Genomic DNA, 27,645 nt, shown 5'->3' on the forward strand with positions numbered 1-27,645 from the left:
ACATCATTAATAGTAAATAAAGCCAAGTAAAAAAAAATTTAGGAGTTTTACATTTATAATCATAAATGAGATTTATCTAGGTTTGATAAAGACTTTTATTAAAATAAATACACCTTAGAATTTTAATAGGTAATTATATGTATTTGTATTTATAAAGTTAATTTTGATATCTGAATGATCAGAAAATTCTCATTTTGCATACACACTGAAACCAATTACATTTTATCAAATTATATTTCATGTAAAGTACAATAAATTCAAGACAAGATTTATAATAAGTAAATACCAGGATTTCTGAAAATCATTTTTCTCACTCTCCATTTGCTGTGAAATACTTAATGTGACTTCCCTAAGTGCCCAGCATATGCCAGAGTTACATGTTAAATTATGAATCAGGGGAGTCAAACCATGTAAAGTAATGTCTCTCTGTTTATCCAAGATAATGGTCCTTTGCTCTTTGTTTTATATTAACATTGTTAAAAACTATTTTCATATTGGGACAACAAAGGTTATTCTATTGTTCTATTTTAATACAGAATAAATAGTAACACATATTTAGTATTTTAGAACAGTTTGACATATTTCATAATCATCATTGGAACATACACTAGTCAAAAGCATTTTTTTTTGGCCAGTATTTACTTTTCCCCACTAGTTCAATTTCTTCCTTTAACAATCTTAAAGGGAGAAGATAAAACATAAGAATGTAGTTGTCCAGTGTGTTGCTGTTTAATGGTATTCCAAAATTTTAGCATGAAAACAAAGTGAGTTTTTTCTACTTAGCTGGGGAGAGAGAAAAAGACAAAAAGGAGAAAAAATAATAAGAATGTAAACATTAGGTCACACTGTTTATATCAGGTAGTGCTACTTTTTAATAATTGGTAAAAAATAATTCACCCTTTTGGTCATTTTACAATGGTCAAGTTAAACTCTATGGTCAATTAAAATATCACTGTAATATTCTTTTTGGAGTGATAAAGATTATTTTTCCCCACAATCATTTGCAAACCTTTAGGCTAAGGTAGTTGTCCCGCTTCTCATCTCTCAGAGTACTCTATTAATACCTCAATCTTGCTCCTGTCACTCTACTGAAATGATTGGCTTCTGTATATGTATCTTTCAGGAAATACAAGTTATTGACTTTATATTCTCTGTATCATCCATGCATTAGGAGCATGATAGACAATTGCTAAGCTGTTAGCTGACAATTCACAATTAATAATGATATTAATGTCCAAAGAAAGTTGTTCTTGAGGGAATTTAGAGAGGAGACAGAATGAGAACAATTCACAAACAAGGTGACATTTATGGAAAGTCTTCAGAATTGACTGTTAGGTGATGATTTGCAATAAAAACCACTTACAAATATAAAATGAAACTCACTTCATAAAAGAAGAATATGTGGCAACCATTAAAATATTGTCAGCTATGGGTCTTTAGCCAAAAAAATTTAAAGTGGGGAAATTGACCTCTTTACATTTCCCTCACCAGCAATGCCCATCTGCAAATCAAATTTATTTCATAAAATCAAAAGTTAGAGATTTAGGTACAGGCTGGGAGTCAGACAGCTTAGTTCTATTATTGGTGCTGCTGTTTCCTAACTGCAAAAAGGCCACTGTGAAAAGTAACATCAAATGCATACTCTCATTTGATGAGTATACTCTCATCAAATGAGAGTATACTCTGGTTACTATATTAAACATTTAAAATGGGTTGTTTCATTGCATCTTTTAGGCCTGGGTGATACAATATCTCACATCTAACTTCTGTTTCTTGATTTGCTAGCCCTGTGTTCTTGAGTAATTGCCTGTACCTCTTTAATCCTTATTTTTCTCACTCATAATATGAGAGTAATAATACTTCTCTCATAAGGTTGCTGTAAAGACCAATCAGTTATCAAAGTGCTTGTCACACAGTTGGCCCTCAGCAAACTTGCCTACTACTTTGATCGTTATTGGATTCACGACAGAGGATTAAAGAGGTTAAGTAACATTAACAATGACAATGGACAGTTAGTTACTCCTAGAGTCCTCTTTACTTCTATGAATCTTAGTTTCTTCATCTTCAAAATGAAGATAACTTAATAGAATGTCTTACTTTTATCTGACTCAAAATAATCTTAGGATAAGTGGTAATATATAAATAATGCCCAAAACAAATCCTGGAAGTTATTACATGCTCAAACCTGAAAGTCAGAATATGGAAGAGGAGGAAAAAGAAGGAAGAGAGGGGTAAAAATCCAACAGAATTGTTGATCTCAAGTTTGACCAGCACCAGCAGTATATGACTGTCACTATGCTATATATAGTCTATAACCATTAAAAGGTGATTCTGTGATTTATAAATGCACTGGTCTACGATCTGCTTTGGAGGAGGTAGCCTACAGAGTGGAGCAAGAAGAAATTTATGACCAAAATTTATTTCTGGTTAATTTGATCATCTGTAGTTATAACTACAGAGGAGGTCCTATCTATTGACAATACTTCCTAAGAGCCATCAGACATAACTATTACTTCTTCTAGTAGCCCTATGTGTGGGGACGATATGTTCTAATTGGATAAATGAAAGAATAGATGAAAACTTGCCTTCTGACTTCTTGGATTTGAAGGAGAGAAATGAGCTCATTAAGCTGTCTTCCCCAGTTCAATTAGCCATGCAATTTACCTGATTCCCAATATTTTAAAAACCCTATTCCATCGTAAAACTTTTGCCAAAGGCAAAATTTTGCTGTAACACAATGCCCTGAGCCTATTTTTCTCTTGACTTCAAAGCATTCTCATTGAAGAATTTGTTTACTCTATGGTGGTTTTTATTATTCAAGTTGTGCTTTCTTAAATGTAAGTTGGTGGAAGTGATGAGATGGAAACTGTGGTCCTGTCATACTGATTTCAGATGCAGTTTGTCTTTTACAAAACAACTGCTGGCTGTTTGAGTTTGGTATATTGCCTACATGAGTTAGTGGAGCAAATCCAGCAAAAGCATTCCTTTGCTATTTCTAGGAAGACATTTTTGCTTTTTGATTATAATCTTTAAAAAATCTAATTTCAGATTTTATACTTAACGTCAGCCCAAAAGCCATTATCAAAAAGCCTAATTGTAAATAAGACTGGACTAAATGCTGTATCAATGTCCAAAGACACAGTCCTGGCTGCCTTAATGTTTAAAGCCAAAGACAAATTTTACCAGTGACCCAATGGAATGGTTCTGGTCCTGCCAAACTACTTGTTATTGAAAATGGCTGGCCTTTCTTTTGTGGAGAAAAAAACCCTGCAGATATATGGATAACCTGTTCTGTTTTCCTGAAGAAAACAAGCATAGCTGTTATTTTTTGATTCTCAAATTATTATTTTTTAGATTATGATAATACCAGGGTGAAAGGAATTTGTAGAAAGGGCCAGTGCAGAACACTGCTTGTAGGAGAGGAGTTTATCCACTCCTTTTAGGAGGAGCAACATATGTATACATTCCACAGGACCCAGAAATTCCACTGAGAATTTAGGAGAATACTTTTTTTTTTTTTTTGAGACGGAGTCTCACTCTGTCGCCCAGGCTGGAGTGCAGTGGCGCAATCTTGGCTCACTGCAAGCTCCACCTCCCAGGTTCACACCATTCTCCTGCCTCAACCTCCCGAGTAGCTGGAACTACAGGCACCTGCCACCACGCCCGGCTAATTTGTTTTGTATTTTTAGTAGAGACGGGGTTTCACCATGTTAGCCAGGATGGTCTCCATCTCCTGACCTCGTGATCCACCCGCCTCGGCCTCCCAAAGTGCTAGGTTTACAGGCGTGAGCCACCGTGCCTGTCCGAGAATATGTTTTTAAAGCTGCTTGATAAAGATTTTCTGTTTTAATAATGGGGTGTTGATAATACTGAAGAGAAGGAAACAAATTAAATGCCCAAAAGCAAGAGAGTGGTTTAAGATGTTCCAATTCCTAAAAAAAAAAAGGCTAACATTTATAAATATAAATAGAGAAATATATTCATAATACAGCTTGAATTGAAAATCAAGTTAAAAATAATATACAGAGTATAATCCTCTATTCTAGATAAAGGTGGACTTATCTATAGATATAAATATGCAATTTTAAGAAGATAGAGACAGATGAGACAGGTTTACTAATAATAACAATAATATAATGCCTGAAAGTATATAAACTAAGATTATTGGCTGGGGTTACCGGTGGGTGGTAGGTTTACAGATAAAGTTTATAACTTTATTTTTTCCACAGTGTACATTTATTACTAATGTATTAAAAATTGAGAGCAAATAAAATGTAACTGCATGGATAGTTACAAGATAATTATACATCATTTGCATGTAACATTTCACTAAGAAAACCTAAGAAAATTAATATGTTTCAGTTTTAAATTACACACAGATGAGCAAAAATCTGCAGAAAAAATGATTCTCTTTTCAACTACTATGTAAGCTAAAAAGTTTTTGAGCCACCAGTAAACAGAGTATGATTTGTAAAAAATATACATTTTTTCCAAAACAATGGGATTAATATACAGAAGCAAAGATTTTGAGAGATGATGCCTAAATTTGTTTTAAAATTTGATTTAAGACATATGCAACTAAATGACACACCAATGCCTATTTGGGTCTTTGATCCTAAAGATGATACTGTTCTATTATCATTTTGTATGGTTTGCAAAGACAGAAGGAATACTTTGTAGTCTATTCTTTGATTATAAAGTTTCATGAAGTATTAAATTCTTGGTCCCATAATTGGTTCTTAACAACTCGTTTCAGATAATACAAGGATAACCATGACAAAATGGAAGAAATAATAATTGGTAAGTGCATTATAAGTAAATTTTTGAATTCTCATAATTTTCAACTGCCTTTTCTACCAGTGATTTTAAAGTTTGATTTAAAATCAAGAACTCTGTGTGTATCTTATATTTTAGGCAGCTCCTGAAGCAAATGGTTTTCTATTTCATGTTTTCCCAATCTCCAGTTGATCATTTGTCACTTTCAATTATGTTTCGGTTTCTTCTGTAACAACTGGATTCCCCCGATATGTCCCTGAATGCCCAAATTATGAGATTAGACAATGGCTATATCAGGGTCAAGGACCTTTACCACTGATTCATTTAACTGCTTTCATTTTGATAGCTTCTTAAAGGCTACTAATCAACTCCGCTAAGTTGCAGCCAAATACTTTGACATGTTCAGGTATGAAAATCATTGAATAGTCATTGAATCTAGAAGACACTGATGAAATTTATTTTATTACATTATATTCTAATAATACACAATGACAGTTATTTCTTATGGATCATTAAACTGAAGTATAGTGTTTCTTCGTTACCATTACAGAGCAGCAAAGACAATCTTTCAAAGATAACCCATAGTCTCCAAAGCATTTTTATCAACTCCACTCCTGATAGACTCAATGTTTTTTTTTTTTTTTTTTTGGAGATAAAGGACAGAGTCTTGCTCTGTTGCCCAGGTTGGAGCCCAGGCACTATCTGGGCTCACTGAAACCTCCACCACCCACGTTCAAGAGATTCTCATGCCTCAGCCTCCCGAGTATCTGGTACTACAGGCACACATCACCATGCCCAGCTAATTTTTGTATTTTTTGGTAGAGACAGGGTTTCACCTTGTTGCCCAGGCTCGTCTCAAACTCCTGACTTCAAGTGATCCGCCCACCTCGGCCTACCAAAGTTCTGGGATTACAGGCGGGAGCCACCATGACAAGCCACACACTCAATTTTACTTATTTCTTAACACCTTCAAATTTACAGAGAAAGTAGAAACTTGTGTAAAATACAAGTTTAAGTAATTTAACTGCAAGAGCAATTTATTTATTCAGTCACTTATACAACAATCTTAAATGCCTACTATGTATCTTTGAAAAAAGAAGGAAGAAAAATATCCTCTTAGACAAAGATATATGAAGTCCTTGCAAAAGGCTGGGGGCTAGGGAGAAAATTTCCCTTCAAGGTCCTGAGAGCTCCCAGTGTCAATGACCTTTGGAAGCTTAAGTTCATAATGATCACAATGAGTCATCGAAAACAACTTGTCTTCAATATGTTGAAGAAGTGCCTAGAAGGAGCCCTAGAACATAGTAGGTACTCAATTTATATATCTGGATGTTTTCCTTCAAAGACCTCACTTCTAATCTCCATGTTTATACTGGCTTCAGGGACCGAAAATAGTATTCGAGGGAGAGAGGTGTTGACTGGAGTCACTCTGGCTCAGTCCATCTTTACTTTCTGCTGAGTCTAAACTGGACAGCAAAGCCCTAGAAACCAAAAGATGTAGTTATTCCACTCCTGGCTATAAAATTTAGAGATATGGATGCAGCACTGCCTATGTGAGAAGGAGAGAAAGACAATCTGCTTCAAAGTGAAAGATTATAAAATGATCACTTTTTAGTACTGTTACAGTACTGCTCACTGAATAAAAGAGGTAATTTTTTTAACTATTCCCAGATGGCCTGAATGAATTGCAGACCCTCTGAAAATCTGTACATTTTCCCTTTCTCATCAGTAGAAACCAGCCCCCTATGTTGGAAATGTTAAGAGCCTAAATCTCTAATAATAGTAATTGTCCTCCGGCTCTATTCAAGGCTTCCCCTTTCCTCTGGCTGGAGCAATTCCATGGTAATTCAAAGGATCCAGTTTCACTGTGATTTGTCTACTAGGTAGAGAAATCATCTTTATAAACATAAAAACTTTAGTGTACTCAGGTATCTTTTTTCCAATGGAAGTGTCCCTAGGTAGCTCTAATGTTCCCATGGCAAAGGTAATGTTAGACAAACTTGTTAATTTATTATCAGTGATAGATTTCAGAGGGGAACACAGATAAAGTGCCCAACTACATAGAGAATCTAGACAGAAAATGGCTCTGTGCTTTGCACATGGGAGGTGATCATATATATTTGGTGAATGTGTGAGTGAATGTCCTAACAGACTCATTGCATTTATGACACATTACAGGACTGTACTTTAATGTGACTAGCATTTAATTGAATAGTAACATTAAAGGTTTAAAGGCAAATGCAATAATACTTCACCTGTGAATTTTTACCTACAGATTATGTAATTTCAATTGGAAAAGCCAAAACAAATACTATTCTTTACCACTGAGAAGACAGAAATGCCACGTGTTTATCCTTCAATGACATATCCCTTTTTCAGTAATTATCTTTCCCTTGGCTAGAAATTCTTACATAATTAAAGTGTTCACAGATACAATGTACTTACTCACTCTCTAGATACTGAAATTAATAGCATAAAATAAATAACTACTAATACTGTTGGACAATACTGATCAAACATAGGTGACAATACAATGACGACAAACACATCATACATAGTTACTTCAATATTTCAACTATTAATATAAGTGGCTATTTTTAGAAACATTCTAATTCAAGTAATGCCTAGTCTAATTCTATGGGTAAAGTGAAATGGAAGATTGGAAAATTATCCAATGAAACAAATTGTAATACGTGACATAAAACCTATATTTAGAAAAACAGAAACTCTAGGCAGGATTATTCGGATAATCCTTCAGTCTACATGTTGTCTATATATAAATATAATTGATAGCCTATTTTTTTAAACAGTATTTCCTTACTGTAGGCCTTGTGAATACAGAAGTAATTATGTCTAGTGGTTGAATGAGATGGAACCATTTGCATGAGAGGCCTTGCATTCTTATTTGTTAATTTTCAATACTGCATGTTGTTAGGTATTTGATTTCTCCTTTGAAATCTCTGTCCTTCTTTATTCCTTCTTCCTCTTATTTATGGATTGTTCAGGGCACTAAATAAAAAAGACACATGGGGACACACCACGTTCCCTTAAGAGAACAGAAGGAGGATTTTAAAGTTTATTCAAGATTGTAGATAGTGGACAAGATAAAGCAATTCTATTTTATTGCAACCATAATAATTTAACCCTATTGATATTCCAGGAAATATGGCCTGGAATAGAGACCATATTTATTCAGGATAACCTGCATTATTTTACAAAGGACTTCAATGAAGAAAAGCTTCATTCATTATATTAATATGGTGCTTACAGGCAACTCTCCAAAATAATATACATCATACAAATACGAATTCACATACTAAGAAGTATAAGGCGTTATTGATGTTTTTTAATATTTAAGATTCCTCTAAACTTAGTCAACTGGTATACAAGGTATTTGATTATTTAAATATAAAGGGTATTTCATATTAGAAATTTTTTGTAGTATTAGACTTGATTACTACATTAGTAAATTAAAAAACCCTTTCTTAAGTATTGCTGCATTTAAATTTTTCTTTAAGATTTAAAATGTCTATACTATTTATATTATTTGTTAATTACTAATTGTTAGCCTGAATCATTTGTTTGCACTGAAGTCATCTCTATTTATTATAGTAATTGGTGTCTGCCAGGGAATCTTTTTTGAATTTCACAAATGAAGGTCCTTCAATATTTTCAAATACTTGCATCTGTAATCAAGACATAATGGCTGTACTCTAGCATAATGCACTACACATAGAAGGCATTTATAAATATTTGTTGAGTGACTAAAGCTAGCAAATGATCAATCTTTACAGTAAAACTATAAATGTACACAGTAATCATGAATTTAGTAATGGTTATTCCATTGTGAATAGAGTCACCTCCACTCTGTCTTTAGTAGTAGCATGAGTATTTACATAGGTGATACATTCCTGATAGATTAATCAATCATATTATTGTGTTTAAGGGAAATTATACTGAAATATTAAAAATAAATTTATGAATAATTAAAAAAAGAATTGTACCATTTTATGTACCACTCAACTTAGAAACAAGATACTGCCATATATATTCCACTCCGCTAATAATATCTGAATTTAGTAGTATAGTAAGTAGTCCTGTTTTCCACAAGGAATACATTTGAAGACCTCCAGTAGATGCCAGATCTCTATGTGCCAAGTGACAGCAACTGGGTTTGGTACTATGTGTACTATGTAGTACATATTTTGGTTCCATATAGTACATATTTTCTGTTCATGTCTTCCAGTCACAAATTTAATGCTTTTTCAATCTGAACTAGGCACTTATCTAGCACTGCGGCCGTAACTTTTGCACTTTGTGGTTTGACAGCAAATCTAGCACTAATTTCTTTTTTTTTCACTATTTCACAGATAGAAGATTCATTATTATAATAGATCTTAGCAATCTCAGCATACTTTTTTTAATTTCCTTATTAAGTCAATAAGAGTGGGTTTGGTTTTTGTTTCTCTAGTTCCTTGAGGTGTGACCTTAGATTGTCTATTTGTGCTCTTTCAGACTTTTTGATATAGGCATTTAATGCTATGAACTTTCCTGTTAGCACCACCTTTGCTGTATCATGGAGGTTTTGATAGGTTGTGTCACTATATCAAACAATTCAGTTAAAGGACTTTTTTAATTTCCATCTTGATTTCATTGTTGACCCAAGAATCATTGAGAAGCAGGTTATTTAATTTCTATGTATTTGCATGGTTTTGAGGGTTCCTTTTTGAGTCGATTTCCAATTTTATTTCACGGTGGTCTGAGAGAGTACTTGATATAATTTCAGTTTTCTTAAATGTATTGAGACTTGTTTTGTGGCCTATCACATGGTGTATCTTGGAGGATGTTTCACCTGCTGATGAATAATGTATATTCTGCAGTTGTTGGGTAGAATGTTCTGTAAATATCTGTTAAGTACATTTGTTCTAAGTCATAGTTTAAGTCCACTGTTTCTTTGTTGACTTTCTGTCTTGATGATCTGTCTAGTGCTGTCAGTGGAGTACTGAAGTCCCCCACCATTATTGTGTTGCTGTTTATCTCATTTCTTAGGTTTAGTAGTAATTGTTTTCTAAATCTGGGAGCTCTGGAGTTAGGTGCATATATATTTAGAATTGTGATGTTTCCCTGTTGGACTAGTCCTTTTATCATTATATAATGTCCCTCTTTGTTAACTGCTGTTGCTTTGAAGTTTGTTTTGTCTGATATAAGAATAGCTACTGCTGTTTGCTTTTGGTGTCCATTTTCGTGGAATATCTTTTTCCACCTCTTTACCTTAAGTTTATGTGAGTCCTTATGTGTTAGATGAGTCTCTTGAGGACAGCAGATACTTGCTTGGTGAGTTCTTATCCTTTCTGCCATTCTGTATCTTTTAAGTGGTGCATTTAGGCCATTTACATTCAATGTTAGTGTTAGGATGTGAGATGCCTTTCTATTCATCATGCTATTTGTTGCCTGAATGCTTTTTTTTAAATTGTGTTTTTTTTTTATAGGTCCTGTGAGATTTATGCTTTAAGGAGGTTGTATTCTGGTGTATTTCAAGGATTTGTTTCAAAATTTAGAGCTGCTTTTAGCAGTTCTTGTAGTGCTAGCTTGGTGGTGATAAGTTCTCTAAACATTTGTTTGTCGGAAAAAGACTGTATTTTTCCTTCATTTAGGAAGCTTAATTTCACTGGATACAAAATTCCTGGCCAATAACTGTTTTGTTTAAGGAGGATAAGGATAGGACACCAATTCCTTCTAGCTTGCAGGGTTTCTGCTGAGAAATCTGCTGTTAATCTGACAGGTTTTCCTTCATAGGTTACCTGATGCTTTTGCCTCACAGCTCTTAAGATTCCTTCCTTCATCTTGACTTTAGATAACTTGATGACTATGTGCCTTGGCAATGACCTTTTTGTGATGAATTTCCCAGGTGTTCTTTCAGCTTCTTGTATTTGGATATCTAGATCTCTAGCAAGGTTGGGGACGTTTTCCTTGATTATTCCCTCAAATAGATTTTCCAAACGTTTAGATTTCTCTTCTTCCTTGGGAACACCAATTATTCTTAGATTTGGTCGTTTAACATAATCCCAAACTTCTTGGAGGCCTTGTTCATTTAATTTTTTTTTTTCTTTGTCTTTGTTTGATTGGGTTAATTCAAAAGCCTTGTCTTCAAGCTCTGGTGTTCTTCCTTCTACTTGTTGGATTCTATTGCTAAGACTTTCCAGTGTATTTTGCATTTTTCTAAGTGTGTCCTTAATTTCCAGAAATTATGATTGCTTCTTATTTATGCTATTTATTTATCTGGAGATTTTTCTGTTCATATCCTGTAACATTTTTGAAATTCCTTTGAGTTCATATTCACCTTTGGTGCCTCCTTCAGTCACTTAATAATCAACCTTCTGAGTTCTTTTTCTGGGAATTCAGAGTTTTCTTCTTGGTTTAGATCCATTGCTGGTAAGCTATTGTGATCTTTTGGGGATAATAAAGAACCTTGTTTTGTCATATTACTAGAACTGTTTTTCAGGTTGCTTTTCATTTGGTTAGACTATGTCAGAGGGAAGATCTGGGGCTCAAGTGCTGTTGTTCAGATTCTTTCTTCCCACAGGGTGCTCCCCAGATGTGGGTGTTCCCTAGATGTGGGTGCTCCCTGGATGTGGGTGCTCCAGGATGTGCCTTCCTGAGAGCTGAACTGCAGTGATTGTTGTTTCTCTTCTGGATCTAGCCACCCAGTGGAGCTAGCAGCCTCCAGACTGGTAGTGGGGAGTAACTGCAAACAGCCCTGTGATATGATCAGTCTTCAGGTCTCTTAGCCCTGGATACCAGCACCTGCTCTGGTGGAGATAGCAGGGGAGTGAAGTAGACTCTGTGAGGGTCCTTTGTTGTATTTTTGTTTATTGCACTAGTTTTGTGTTGGTTGGCCTTCAGACAGGAGGTGGCGCTTTCAAGAGAGCATCAACGGCAGTAGCATAGGGAGGATACAAGCTTGCTCTAGAGTCTCCTGGATAAGTTTCTCAGGCGGTGGTCAGGGCCATAGAGCTCTCAAGAGATTATGTCCTTTGTCTGGCTACGAGGGCAGGTAGAGAAAGGCCATCAGGTAGGGTCAGGGTTAGGTGTGTCTGAGCTTAGACTCTCCTTGGGCAGGCCTTGCTGAAGCTGCTCTGAGTGTTGGGGGTGTGGTTCTCAGGGCGATGGAGTTATGTTTCTAGGGGGATTATGGCTGCCTCTGCTACATCATACAGGTCACCAGGAAAGTAGGGGAAAGCTGGCAGTGAAAGGCCTCACCCAGCTCCCATGCAACCCAAAAGGCCAGTCTCACTCCCACAATACTCTCCACAACAGCACTGAGTTTATTTCCAGGCAATGGGTGAACAGGGCTGAGGACTTGCCCCTGCTCCAGGTCTCCCCACTGGAAAAGCAAGCAGGGGTTTCAGGTTTCACACCTCCCTGCCTGATGCAACTTCTGTGCTGTGTCTGCACTCCCAGTTCACCCTCACCCCCAGATTCTGCTAGGAAAGTTGGCATTCAGTCGAAATTGTTACAGAGTTCATCTGGAAGTTTCCTTCTCCTTGTGGTCTTTCCCCACTTCCACTGGCAGTCCTACCCAAGGACCCTAGGAGACAAAGTCAGAAATGGTTTTCCTGGGGGCTGAGAGAGTCCACAGGGCTCTTCCCCCTGCTTCCTTTACCCTTATATTTTGTTCAGCTCTCTAAGTTTGTCTCAGCTCCAGGTAAGGCCAAATCCATCACCTGTGACCTGGACCTTCAGGTTCCCCAGGAAGGCTATGTGTTCAGGGGTGGAAGATCCCCCTTTCACACTTTGGGCACTTACAGTTTTTCGGCTGTCTCCTGGAGCCTGCAGCAGCAATCTATTTCCTTCAAAGGATCTGTGGATTCTCGTGGCTTTCCTGGTATGTTGCTGCAGTAGTTCTTGGAGAAAAGTTCATGATGTGTGTCTTCACATGCTGCTCTGTCTGTCCGAGGGGGAGCTGCAAGTTAGTCCTGCCTCCTATCCTTTTATCAGTTTCTTCTTTCTATTTGTATGATTTTAAAATTTATATAAGTGTATACAGTGTATGTATTATTCTAAAACAAGCTTTCTGTAGTATGATTGTTTGAGAAGTCTGGTCATGTTGATGTGATAGCTATATTCCTTCATATCCACTACTGTAAAGTGTTCCACGTAGACATTTGCAAATTGTTTTCCATAGTGCAGCAGCACCTTCCCATAAGTGGTGTATGAGTCCCCACTTACCAGTTCCTGAAATTTCCAGATTTTGCCATCTTTGACAACTTGATGAGTATAAAATATTATCACATTCTTTTTTTTTAGTTTACTGATAACCAGTAAAGTTGCACATGTCTTTACATGTATATTGACCATTTCAGTTGCCACTTCTGGCTTCTTCTGTGAATTACTTGTTCACTTCTTTTGTCTGTTTTTCAAATAGTTTGCTTAATTTAAATGTTACCTTTGTCAGTTATATATGTGTTGTCTTGCTAATGACAACTGCTAGTATGTAGCTTTTCTTTCTTTTTATAAAAAGACATTTTTAATAAGAGATGTATTAAATTCTTCTATGCTGATGGTAGAACTTGCCAATTTCTCTTTCTGGTTCTATAAAATTCTGCTTTATACTTTTGAAACTATATTATGAGATGCATGTAAACTTAGAATTTTATACTTTATAATTATACAATAAGCCTCTTTTTCTTTAATGAAACAGTAATGTCTGTTTTGCCTAATATTTATGTAGCTCATGCTAGCTTTCTTAAATTTTCAAACTTGAAGTGTGCTTGTTTTTTGAGTATGTCTCTCACACCCTCAGCACAAGTACCATGCTGAGCTGCATTGCAGCATGAGGGCAAAGGAAAAATACGAACCTCTGTATACAACTAGAAAATATTTACCAATCTTTGGAGCCAAATGGAAAAAGTTAATAAACACTCTACAGTTTTAAAAAAATAGCTGTGTATAATGTCCCATCATGCCTAGTCTGTTTCTAGACGATTGTAAAACCTTCTATGAGACAGGTACATGCCAACCTTATAAAACTGGTAGGTAGGAATTATGGACTGATTAGAAACAACAGCTCCCATTACAAAATAACACAGGACCATAAAACAAGCAACACTAATGTGTCTTTACTTAAAATTTTGATTTTTAATTATACATTTCTAAATCATTTGACTTTTTGAAATATAACATAAAAATATTATAGATCTTGCTTAATAGGGTGTTTTTGGTGCTTTTGTAAAGTTTGTGATTAAGACATTCTCTTGCCCTAATTCAGCCTCTGCTCAGACAATAGGTGGATGTTGTTTTCTCTTTCAGCCAGACAGTCTCATAATTCTAATATGTTCAGCACATTTAGATTTGTTGTGATTGTTTATTTATTTGGAATTTCTATTTTCTATATATCCTTTTTCTTTCGTTCTCCTTTACTGCCTTATTTTGAAATGAGGTTGTTGTTTTTATTCCTTCCTAATACGTTGTTGAAAAGGAGTGCTGAGAGGAAACATTCTTGTCTTATTCCTGATCTTAGTAGGAAAGATTCTGGTTTCTTATCCTTAAGTATGATGTTCACTCTAGGTTTTTATACATATTTTCTATTAAGTTGAGTATGTTCTCCTCTACTCCTTATTTGTGGAGAGTTTTGATCATGAATGGATGCTTGATTTTGTCAAATACTTTTTCTACATTTATTGATATAATCTTGTAATTTTTCCCCTTTAGCCTGTTGATGTGAGGAATTACTTTAGCTGATTTTTGAATGCTGAACCAGTCTTGCAAACCTGAGATAAATCCCTCTTGGTTCTGATATATAATTATTTTTACACATTGCTTAATAGTTTTATTTTGAATATTTTGTTGAGAATTTTTGCATCTATTTTTATGAGAGTTATTGGTCTGTGGTTTTCTTTTCTTGTAATTTCTTTGTCTGATGTTGGTACAGGGTAATGTTGGCATTATAAAATGAGCTGGTTTTATTCTTCAATTCATTCTAACAATCTCTCTCTTTTAATTGGTATATTTAGACCATTGACACTCAAAGTAGTTACTGGCATAGTTGGATTAATATCTACTACTTTTTATTCATTGCCCTTGTTCTTTGTTTCTATTCTTGTTTTCTATATACTTTTTACCTTTTGTGGTTTTAGTTGAGCATTTTTACATGGTTCCATTTTCTTTCCTTTGTAAGTATTAAATATATCAACTATACCTTTTTAAAACTTTTTTGGGGGTTGCCCTATAAAGCTTATAATATACATTTATAACTAATCCAAGTATACTTTTAAATTTTGGAATTTTTTGTTATTATTTTGTTGAATAAGATTTCTAATCCTTCCTCTTCAACTCCCTCTTGAATACCATTAATTCTTACATTTGGCCTTTTGAGGTATTAATAATTTTCTATATATTGTAGGAAATCTTCATTTCTTTGTGTTCTTTTTTTCTCCTCGACCATATATTTTCAAATATTCTGTCTTCAAGCTCACTGATTCTTTCCTCTGCTCAATCCATTCTGATGGTGAGAGCTACTAGTGAATTTTTCAGTTCGGTAAATTTATTTCTCAGTTCCAAGGTTTCTGATAGATTTTTTAAAATTTCAATCTCTGTTAAATTTCTCTAATGAATTTCTGAATTATTTTTCTGTGTTCTACTGGAGATCACTGAGTTTTCTTAAAACTGCATTTTAAAATTCGTGGTCAGGGAGCTTACATATTACTGTCTTGTTAGGGCCAGTCCCTGGTTCCCTGCTTTGTCTGTTTGGAGACATCATAGTTTCCTACTGCTGTTTTTCTTGTGGACATACATCTATGTCTTTGCTGCTAAATTGCTTCCTCTAGGGAGCTATAGGGGGCGCTTTAAGCCCAGGTTCGCCTTGGCTTCAGTAAACAATCCAATTGTGCCCTTCTTAACAAGAGAGGTCCCAAAGGGAATATCCTGACAGTATGGGAAGGCTGCCTAAGGGTTTGTGCCGAGGAGAACAGTGAAATAATCCTCCTGCATCATAGTGCTGCTAAGCAGCTACTCTGACATTGTGTCTGCATTGGTCAAGTTACAGAGCAGACTTTCCCAGGCTGGGGATGACAGACCTACATCCCCCTTTGTCTCTGCCTATCTTCAGGAATATGTCTCCCTTTAGGCACTCATGACGCTTCCAGTGGGTTGAGGCATGGATAGGACAGGTCTCTTTCCGGTAACCCAGAATGGCTGGGGAAGCTGGTTGTTTACCTCAATCTTAATTTTTCCAGTGTAGAAAAAAGTGAGTTGGAGGAAAATCTTCTGCATATTTGGTGTCAGGCAAAATGGGGTAACGAGTGCTACAAATGTGAAAGTCAGGTTTCTTACCATCCACTTGGTGTTTCTCATTTCCTTATGGCCCTGGGAACAGTTATATCTTCATATTTGAGTTCTGGACTATCGTGACAATTTCTGGTGATAATCTCAGCAATGTATATTTGTTAATTTTTCTTTTTGGCGGGAGAGGGGCGCGGTGGGGTTGTGGCATGGCAGCTTGTTTCTGTGCCGCCATTTTGGAACTGGAAGTCATGGGGCGGAAGAGTTAACATCCAGAGCAGCCCCTGACACCTGGCATGGAGGACGGGAGAACCGCAGGTGGAGCTTGAACTATCAAGACAAAATAATGTCATGCGAGAGTTCCAAGTTGACTTTTAAATAACACGATACCACTTAAAAGGTGGCATGAGTACCTAATAATAATAAAGTATTCCTAGTTCCTCCCTCTGGTGTCTTGTATTGTTGCTATCATTCATTTCACTTACACACATGCTATAATAATGAAATACATTGTTCTTATTATAATTTTGAACAAACTGGTATCTACTAGATCAATTAAGGATAAGAAAAATAAAAGTTATTTTATTTATTCTTTCTCTAATGTTCTCCCTTTCTTTACATAAATCTGAGTTTTCTGACCTGTATCATTTTTTCTCTCTCTCTGAAGTTCTTCCTTTAACATTCTTGCAAGGCAAGAAAAGTCTACTGGTTTTTGTTTGAGAAAGTATTTTTCCTTTACTTTTAAAGGATAATTTTGCAAGATACAGAATTCTAGGTGGATTTTTTTTTTTCTGTCAACACCTAACTATTTAACCACTTTTCTTGCTTGCATGCTTTCTGAGGAGAAGTAGAATGTAATTCTTATCTTTGCTTTTTCATAGGCTAGATGTTCCCCCTTCAGCCAGGCTCCTTTTAAGATATTTTTCCCTAACTTTGATTTTTCTGCATTTGGAATATGAAAAATTCTTAGTCATTATTGTTCCAAATATTTCTTCTGTTCCTTTCTCTTCTTCTTCTTCTTCCCCATTATATGTATTTACATTTTTGGTAGCTGTCTCACAGTTCTTAGATATTCTGCTCTATTTGTTCAGTCATTTTTCTTTTTACCTTTCTATTTTGGTAGTCTCTATTGACACATCTTCAAACTCAGATTCTTTTATCAGCTGTCCCCAAATATTAATGATCCAATTAAAGGCATTCTTTATTTCTATGAAAGTGTTTCTGATCTCTAGCTTTTCTTTTTGCTTCTTTGTCAGAATTTTTATCTTTCAGCTTATATTGCCATCTATTTTTGCATGTTGTCTACTTTTTCCATTAGAGCCTTTAGTGTATTCATCAGAGCCGCTTTAAGTTTCTGGTCTGATAATTTCCATATCCTTTCCATGTCTGAGTCTCATTCTCATTTTTGCTCTCTCTCTTCAAACTGTGAGGTTGTTTGTTTGTTTCTTTGTTTGTTTGTTTTTGGTGTTTTAGTGTGCTTTGTAACTTTTTGTTGAAATCCAGACATGATGTACTGAGTAAAGGGAACTCTGGCAAACAGGCCTTTCATGGTGTGGTGGTAAGATGAGAGGGGAGGGAAAGCGTTCTATGGCAGTGGTCCCCAATATTTTTGGCACCAGGGATCGGTTTTGTGGAAGACAACTTTTCCACGAACTGGGTGTGAGGGCAGCACATGGGGAATGGTTTCAAGATGAAGGTATTCCACCTCAAAGCATCAGGAATTCTCAGAAGGAGTGCACAACCTAAATCCCTCACATGTACAGTTCACAATGGGGTTTATGCTCCTATGACAACTTCATGTCACTGCTGATCTGACAGGAGGCAGAGCTCAGGAAGTAATGATAGCTCACCAGCTGCTCACGTCCTACTATGCAGTCCGGTTTCTAATAGACCACAGACCACTACTGACCAGTGGCCCAGGGGTTGGGGACCCCTGTTCTATGATTCTAGGATTAGTTTTCAGTTTTTAATGAGCCCTGTGCTCATTGGCTGTGAACTTTACAAGTATTTCTCAGTAACTGCTCTTCTTACCCCAAGGTGCAACAGAATGGCTAGAGGGAGCTGAAGTTGGAGTTTACCCCTTCCCTTTAAATGCTATTTTTAATGACCATTTAATGGTATCCTGCTACTTTTTATACTCTTTCTTACATATAACCTTATTTTTATTTAACGCAGTAAATTTTCCTCTATATTTATCCACATATTTGCTGGTTTACTTGCTCACAATTCCTTCCTTCACACCAGGCCTATTTTCTGGAAACATTATATATCCTTATGAAAAGTATTCTCGAAAAATTCTTTTATTGAGAGTCTGCTGGTGATAATATTGATATATATATCTGTAAACTAAAAATGCATTCTTTCTTTCTTGTTTCTAATTGATGGTACTACTACAAATACAATTCCATATTTCTTGGTTGCCTTCTCTCTGCATTTCAAAGGCACTACTCTGCTGTCTTCTGGCTTTCATTGTGGCTGTTGAGAAATATATCAGTAGTGTCTTAGAAATTAATTTCTTACACTTTGTATTTTTCTCTCTGGCTGTTTTTAGGATGCTGTTCTGTCTTTGGTGATTATCAGATTTCTGTCTTTCTGGCTGCTTGGTCTTTGGTGATTATTGGATTCATTATATTATACCTATGTATGCATTTACTTTTCTTAGCCTACTTGGGATTCAGAAAAATCATGTCATTCCTCACCTTTAGATAATTCTTTACTCTTATCCCTTCAAATATTATCTTTTCTTTTACTATGTTTATACTTTCACTATCTCTATTTGCTTCTTCTGTAAGGCTGTCTTAATTTATCTCCATGCTCATAACCTCTTTTTCATGTTTTCAACTTATATTTTAAAAGCATTTATGCACATACCTATCTCACGGAAAGAACTAGTACAAGTGTTTTTCAAAGATTAATAATATCATCATGTCAGTGAGGAAAGAAAATTCTTTACCTTGACTTACTAAACATATATCAAATGTAGATCCTATAATATGAACTGTGTGAATGCTAGTTATATAAAAATGAATTAATTTACTAGCATTACAATAATTAAAATATAAATAAAATATATTTAGGGTAAAATCTGCGAACAAACAGAGAAAAAATAAGCAGTGGTAAAGCCTGATATATAATATAAATATGACACAAATTAGTCATGATGATTCATACTTTTGGACTTTGGTGCTCTAAAGGAATCTTTCAAAAATAACAGAAATATTCATTTATATAATAAGCATTCTAGAGTGTGATGTTGGCACCATTCAAATTATTGAGTGGTAGGAAGGCTTATTATATAAAAAGTTTCAAGCTGGCTGTGCTATTTATAATGCTAACAAAAATTTATACTGATAGTTTGATTGTAGTTAATTCATAAGATCTATGATTAATGTTATAAAAGGGTCATAAGTTAGAGCCAAAGAATAAGAAGTGTTCATGGTTACTAATAAATTGCTCTGTGAAGGCTTGGCTACCCTTGCAGGTAATGATGTCACAAAATGACGAAAGAATAGCTAAGTAGCCAATGAAGTGCCAATGCTTGGCTGAGACACTGATCATTGCATCACTCTTGGCCAGAGCCCCGAAAGGTAAATGTAGTTATTAAAGGAAAAAGACAACTCATAAGGATTCAAGTTTCAACTGACAACACTTTTCTTAAAACTAGATTCTATTCAACACTTGAACTCTTAGATCAAGTAAAGAAAGTACTAGATAAGAAAAAGAAGTAATAAATATATTATAGCTTTGCAAATATGTTAGTTGACAGATAAACCCAGGCTTCCAATTCCTAGCTTGTATTATGTACCTATGAGCTTAATATATACACTTTGATACTTATAATGGATTTCTGATTAAGTGGGCCAGAGATACCATGTTGCAGTAAAGCTAACAGCACATGTAATTAGGGAATGATCTAAAAGTGGGGGTGAGGTGGGATTTAAAAGCCTATGTACGAAAATATTACATACCAAATAACACTATGCTAAGAAATTTTGGAACAGGCAAAACTAATCTGTATTGATAGAAATAAGATTGGTGGTTTCCTGGGATTGGGGGTTCAGAGACAGCACTGACTGCAAAGAAGCATAAGAGAACGTTTGGGAGAGTGAAACATTCCATCTCTAGACAGGGATGGTGATTACACAGGGTACACATATGCCAAAACTCATCAAACTATATATTTTTAAGTGGGTATATTTTATTGTACACAAATCACACTTTTGATGTAAAAAGAAAAAAACACTAGTTTTGCCAGATGTTACCATGGGACAAATTGGTAGAGTACACAAATTGTCTTTATATTATTTTTTACAACTGTATATAAATCTATAATTATCTCAAAATTAAAAGTTTACTTAAAAATGCAAGTAACAGTGGCTATTTTTTATTCAAATGAAATTAAACATTTATAAATAACATGTTTGTAACTTGTGAGATATATAATGATTCATGCAAGTTCAATACCATGTATTTCTAATTTCTACTTTGAAATATTTAACTTTGTATGAAAGTTAATGAATAGCATCTAGGCTTTTGGATTTGTTTCACCCTAAATCAGTTCTAAAGTGAGCCTAGTAAATTAAGCATTTACTGCTTTTTTTTCATTCTTGGAAAGAAATGCGACAAGTATTCTAAAAGTATTCTCTATGAGTGAAGTATTTATGGTATGTATCATACATTAAAGTCAAGGCCTTAAAATTGCCAGTACAATACAAAAATGTATCGGAGTTCCTGGTCAAAGAGTGCAGAGGAGAATCAGTGAGGCTCCCCAAGGTAAATGTTTTTAGATGTCAAAAATGTAATTAAAAAAAAAGTAAGCATGGCTTTAATTTCATCTCAGAGTAAACAGTGTCTTTGCTAATAGATTTTCTTGAGTTGTTTTCGGTTATTTGTGAGTTTTTATTTTTATAAAGGGGTAAAAGAAATAGGAGTTAACAATGAATATAGCAATGAACAGCTGGTCTTTCTCTACTCAGAATAATTAAAAATGTATTCTAGCTTCTAGTGTCTCAATCTATCCATCAGTTTTGCTTTAGGAGGTTAAGAAGCTCCGAGTCTTTCAAGGCCAGGTAGTTCACCAAAGTGATGTCGCCCATGTATAAGGATATACATAGTAGTGAATGTTGTAGCAAGCCCAAGAGTGATACTGTTGTAAATGTGGTAAATGTCACCCTGAATCAGTGAGTTGTTGATGGCAGGAAATGGACACAGTGTTAGACTATGTTCTGATTAAGAGAAGTGAGGAATTAAAAATTTGTGTCATTTTTTAACTTTTAATAATCGCCATTCTGACTGGCATGAGCTGGTATCTCATTGTGGTTTTGATATGCATTTCTCTAATGATCAGTGATGCTGAGCTTTTTTTCATACGTTTGTTGGCCACACATATGTCTTCTTTTGAGAACTGTTCTCAAACAAACAACCCCATTAAAAATTGGGCAATGAACATGAACAGACAGTTCTCAAAAGAAGACATTAATGTCCTCCCCTGGCAACAACTCGCTAACTCAGGGTTCTTTGCCCAGTTTTTAATGGGGTTGTTTTCTTCTTGTAAATTTGTTTAAGTTCCTTCTAGACTCTGGATATTATACCTTTGTCAGATGGATAGAATGCAAAAATATTCTCCCCTTCTATAGGTTGTCTGTTCACTCTGACCATAGTTTCTTTTGCTGTGCAGAAGCTCCAAGGTTGTGGAGAAAAGGGAACACCTTTACACTGTTGGTGGGAGTATAAATAGTTCAACCATTGTGGAAGACAGTGTGGAAATTCCTCAAAGATCTAGAGGCAGAAATACCATTTGACCCAGCAATCCCATTACTGTGTATTACCAGAAATATAAATCATTTGCAGGGACATGAATAGAGTTGGAAGTCATTATTCTCAGCAAAATAATGCCGGTACAAAAAATCAAACATTACGTATTCTCACTTACAAGTGGGATCCGAATTATGAGAACACATGGACACATGTCGGGGAACAACACACATTGGGGCCTCTTAGGGATGGTGGGGGCTGTGGGGGGAAGAGCATCAGGAGGAATAGCTAATGGTTTCTGGACTTAATACCTAGGTGAGGGGATGATCTATGCAACAAGCCACCATGGCACACCTTTACCTAAGTAACAAACCTGCACATCCTACACATGTTCCTCTGAACTTAAAATAAAAGTTGAGGGCCAGGAGTGGTGGCTCATGCCTGTAATCCCAGCACTTTGGGAGTCCGAGGCAGGTGGAGCACTTGAGGTCAGGAGTTCAAGACCTGCCTGGCCAACAAGGTGAAACCCATCTCTACAAAAAAAAAAATACAAAAAGTTAGCCGCGTGTGGTGGTGTGCAGCTGTAGTCCCAGCTACTTGGGAGACTGAGGCAGAAGAATTGCTTGAAGCTGAGAGGCTGAGGTTGCAGTGAGCCAAGATCATGCCACTGCACTCCAGCCTCGGTGACAGAGTGAGACTCCCTCTCAAAAAAATAAATAAATAAAAAAGATTGAAGAATAAATAAATATTTTAAAGTGAAAACTCTTGCAGAAAATTAAATTAAAACTGTTTAAACACTGTTTCTACCTGTGAGCCACCAATTTGTGACATTGACCTTATAAACAAATGAATAGTATTTTGTACGGAAAATTCCTTAGGATGGCTAAATATGTGAACCTGCCCCTGAATTCACCATTCACCTTTTCTCAACTTCATTCATTTTTGTTTCTACTAAAAACACTTTCTCATAGGAAAGACAATTGCCAAGAATTGGCATATTTTCAGTCCTTACATTTTCATCTGTTTGCCAAATGTCTGTAATATAATTCACAAAAGCCCTGTTTATTAAGTAATATTATTAATGGATAGCATAACACTGTGGAATTGAAGACATTCTTTTTGGATTATGTCCAGGTCTTAAAAAGAACATGGATCCCAATAGGAAGTGAATGGCTTATATTAAAACGTATAATTTTAAAAAGTAGAACAACAAGAAAAGCATTAGAATAGGTATATTTTCAAATTACCGTAAGACGACTTTTCTCAGATATGTAAGTCTCTACTTGTATTAAAATACTTTGAATGGTAACAAAGGAGAATGTCATGCCTATGAATGTTTCTATAAAATCATTTTTCATTTTCAACACATTATTGAAAATATCATAGGACTGAGAAATCATTCAACTTAACAGTCTATTGACTTTTTCCCTGCAGCTGCATTTGCATTTGCCAAAGTTTGCTAAGTAAATTATATTTGTTGCTTTTTAAAATTTATGGCTAAATTCATAAACTATCAAAATATGTCAAGGAGGAAAATAACAAAAAAAGTTTAGTTTTTCATTTTTGTTTTCAAAAGGTACTTAAGGTCTAAATAAGAAGCATTAAAATGTATTCTCAACCCAAATTATAGTTAATTAATTCACTAGTTCATAATCCAACATTCACCACCTGAGACCAAGTCTGAAAATCCCAACTTGTCTTCTGAAACCAATCATGAGCCTTCATTCATTTAATGGCTCTATTTTTAAGGGGAAGCATGAAATCATCCAAGAATCAGAAAATATCCAACACTTAACTGTGAGCAATTAAAGACAGAAAGATAAAACAAGACAGGACGTCACAAGCAAATGAGAGAGACTAATACCGACTGACTAGTCAACAGAAAGCAAGAGAAGCTCAGAAAAGAACATATCATATGAAGGTATTAGCCAAACTGTAGCTTGCAAATACTAGACATATTCAGTTCAAGGTGCCCTGCTAAATTCATCCCAAAGCATTTTTTAATTGGGGTGTTAGTGGCTTTGTGGAGGAGAGGACAAGGTTAATGAAAGAAATCACTGATTATAAGGAAGTAAGTGTCCATCTTAAGGGATCAAAAGAAGACAGTAGAAAAATATAATAAATGTTGCTTTAACTTTAAAATCTAGAACAAATAAAATTGGCAAAAATTTAAACACACAATTATGGCTCAGTGAAGAATAAATCAATCAAGTTAATCCAATTAATTTCATTTCTGTGACAATATGATAAGCCATACAATCAAGCATATTAAAATCAGTTCTTCTAAAAGATTTTTCCTCATAATATACTAATGAAATCAAATGCAAAGACTCTAGGCATTAGAAATCCAAAAGAAAACCATAAAAGATTTCTTCTTTTAAAGCAAGTATTGACTAATGGTGAGGACTAGATGTATATAAAGTAGTGATCTAGAAAATAAATTCAAAAGAATATCTAAATTAGAACATGAAAGTTTTGGTCTGAGCACATAGAAAGAAAGAAAGAAAGTAGGCCATAACTAAATCAAAGACTCTTAGTTGAAACTGAGGAGTGGGACTACGTTTTGAATGTGCTAGAGAAAGTCTGCATTATAGATAATATTCTTACCATTGAACTATTCTCACTAATGTTACAGTCAAAAGCAAATTAGATCAGAGTAAGAATCAGAAGACAGAAATGGAATTTGCCAAAACCTTTACAGATGGTTTTTTAAAAAGCAAGATGCTCTATAATATCCTAAAATAAATTTCACAGAGAAGTGAAGTAACTAACTAAAACACAAGTGTAGGGCAAGGTCCAAGAGGCAGAGATGTTCACAAGTCATACATGAGTGTATGAGACAGTGCTACCATCTGAAAAGCTAAAATGCACTAACATATAAGCCCATATTTATGTAACAAAATGATAGAAATATAAGCATTTTATATAGTTTGTATGTTTGTCCCCTCCAAATCTCATGTTGAAATGTGATCCCCAGTGTTGGAGGTGAGCCTGGTGGGAGATGTTTGGGTTATGGAGGTGGATCCTTCATGAAGTGCCTTCCCTTCAGCAGTGAGACCTCACTCTGTTAGTTCATGGCTGTTTAGACACGGCTGTTTAAAAGAGGCTGGCTTCTGGCTTTGCCTTCTGCCATGATTGTAAGCTTTCTGAGGCCTCACCAGAAACCAAGCAGATGCTGGCACCAAGCTTGTATAGCCTGCAGTACCACAAGCCAAATAAACCTCTTTTCTTTATATTTACCTAGTCTCAGGTCTTCCTGTACAGCAATGCAAACAGACTAATACACCATTCCATACACTTGTCATTGAAGAACTGCTTTTCAGAATGACAGCAATTATATAATGTAGTTCACTATATTTGAAAATTTAATTTTAGTAGAGGTGGACAAATTTTCCCCAAAACTATTGTGTCAATTGGCAATCCCATCAGTGATGTGTTAAAGGTTATATTCCCACAAGTACTAAATATTACCAATCTTTATATTTTCTGCTAATTTGAAATGTTAAAAACAATTGTTGAATATGATTAAAACTGAGGTTGGGTAATCTTTTATATGTTTATTAAAGTTACAATTTGTTCATTTGTAAATTGCTTGTTCATATATTTGCTCATTTTTATCAGACTGTTATATTTTTCTTAATATTTTGTAAATGTTTGTGTGTTAGGAATCTTAACTCTTTACCTGTTAACATGATGCAAATATTTTCTATCAATCCATCATTTATCACTACCTTACATTTATGTTAACCCTTATACTGTGTAGAATTTTAAATATTTATATAACAGAATATGTCATTAATTTCCTTCATAGCTCCAGATGTTTGTTTCTGTTTGTATTTCATTTGCTTAGCTGATAAAAGCCCTCAACTTAAGATATAGAATTCTAATCTTTATTTTAATATATTTATAGTTATTTTTCACTAAAAGTTTAAGCCACATACATTTTTGTACATACAATCAGTAGAGCTCTAATTTTATTTTCTTGCAAATTAGCAGCCAGTTGTCTTAAACATATTTACTGAAGAGTCTATATTATCTACTCTCATTATTGGTATAATTGTTACTGCTGCTGAACCGTCTTTCATATCAGCTATTTCTGATGTTGTTGCTAGATATTCCTACCAACGAATGTTTCTTGATTTTATTTCCACTTACCTCTTTTCCCTAAAGATGAAGCTAAAATTCCACCTCAACTATGGAATTCCCCTGATCGTCACAGAAAACTAAAGTAACATAACTCATAAATCATTTTACTATAGATTTTCAATTAATTAAAATGCCTGATATTAGCAATAAATGAACCTTGATTGACATAAATACATAAACATTGTTCTTCATCTAACGATGCTTTTGTTTATTGATACTTTTGTATAAATACCCTTTAGTAAGAATCAAACTATTTTTTGTTTAGTGCCATGCTATCCAAACACATTAAAAATTGTTTTATAAAACATGATAATGCTGATGAAACAAAGAAAGAAAAACAAAAGAGAAAAGAACCTTAGGGTTTGGTTTCAGTTGTAATTTCTCTGGCTGAAATTATTTTTAAAAACTACAATTTCAACTTAATTGATGGCTGTTATTTTTCTTAAAAAATCTGCAATAATTGACATTTTAAGTTCATATCAGTTTTTAAATTTATTTTCATTTGTTAGGCCAAGATTAAGTTCATAGAATTTATAGTCACCATCTCTACTATTTTTTTTTTAGATTTCCATGCATAAAATAGAACTCACATGAAGTCCTTCAGTGAAGCTCTCCTGGGAGCAGAGGCATCTATATGGCTGGCTTGTTGTGTCGCAGTTATCGGCATGACCATGGCACTGACATCTGCAAACATGAGCATCACACACTCCTAAGGAACACCAACTCAACTGTGAATATATTTAAGGTCCTAGGACTATATGCATTATGTGAATTTAACAGGGAAGATTTTTGTATATTTAATTGATACAAAATCAGTTTCTCCTTAATCGTGTGGATATCCATACACGTTTTTAATTTATCTGGAAATGTCAGAAGGACTGTCACCAATATCCAAACCCGTGTATTGTAAAGATAATTTTCAAGCCAACCTCTAAAGGGAAATGGAATTTTTTATATCTATACCAACCACGTACCAAGGGAAGGCATTTACTACACTATTTAAAATACAGTTAAGAATATAAAGTTCAGGCTGAGCACGGTGGCTCACGCCTGTAATCTCAGCATGTTGGGAGACTCAGGCGGGTAGATCACTTGAGGTCAGGAGTTTGAGAGCAGCCTGAGCAACATGGCAAAACCCCATCTCTACAAAAAGTGAAAAAAAAAATCAGCTGGGCATGGTGGCACATGCCTGTAGTCCCAGTTACTTTGGAGGCTGAGATGAGAGGATCACTTGAGGCCCAGAAGTCGAGGTTGCAACGAGCCATGATCATGCCATTGCATGCCAGCCTGGGTGACAGAGCAAAAGCCTGTCAAAAAAAAAAAAAAAAGAAAGAAAAAAGAATATAAAGTTGACAATAAACTGCAGAATGCAGTTAACATATTTCAATTTTTTTATTTTTTTTTCCAAAGTTAGATGATGAATATTTAATAGTATTGCTTTGTTCATTATGCTATGACTTAGCAAACAAACAATGCTTATATACTGGTATTTTGGTCTGCTTTTAAAGACATATTTTATTCACAAGGCCTATCATTCCTCCAGAACAATCCATTCTAAATATACTCTATATGTACATTTCTATATTAGACAGTATGCTGCCTAGGTTTGCAGCTGTCATTTCTTTTTAAATATTGTGAGTCATGTTCTCAATTATGATCAGACATTTATAAACTACTTAGGGCATATCA

The 27,645-nt window shown here is 35.0% G+C and overlaps 1 protein-coding gene across 2 annotated transcripts in view; it reads right to left on the reverse strand.

The window, feature by feature from the left end:
- Positions 1-27,645, reverse strand: part of USH2A (usherin) — an 800,558-nt gene that overhangs the window by 672,446 nt on the left and 100,467 nt on the right. For both annotated transcript variants that reach the window (NM_206933.4, NM_007123.6), the window contains exon 9: positions 26,547-26,640. In NM_206933.4, coding sequence (NP_996816.3) covers positions 26,547-26,640 — 94 coding nt within the window. The remainder of the gene's footprint in view (positions 1-26,546; positions 26,641-27,645) is intronic.

Source organism: Homo sapiens, chromosome 1 (genome assembly GCF_000001405.40).
Source record: "Homo sapiens chromosome 1, GRCh38.p14 Primary Assembly".
NCBI lineage: Eukaryota > Metazoa > Chordata > Mammalia > Primates > Hominidae > Homo > Homo sapiens.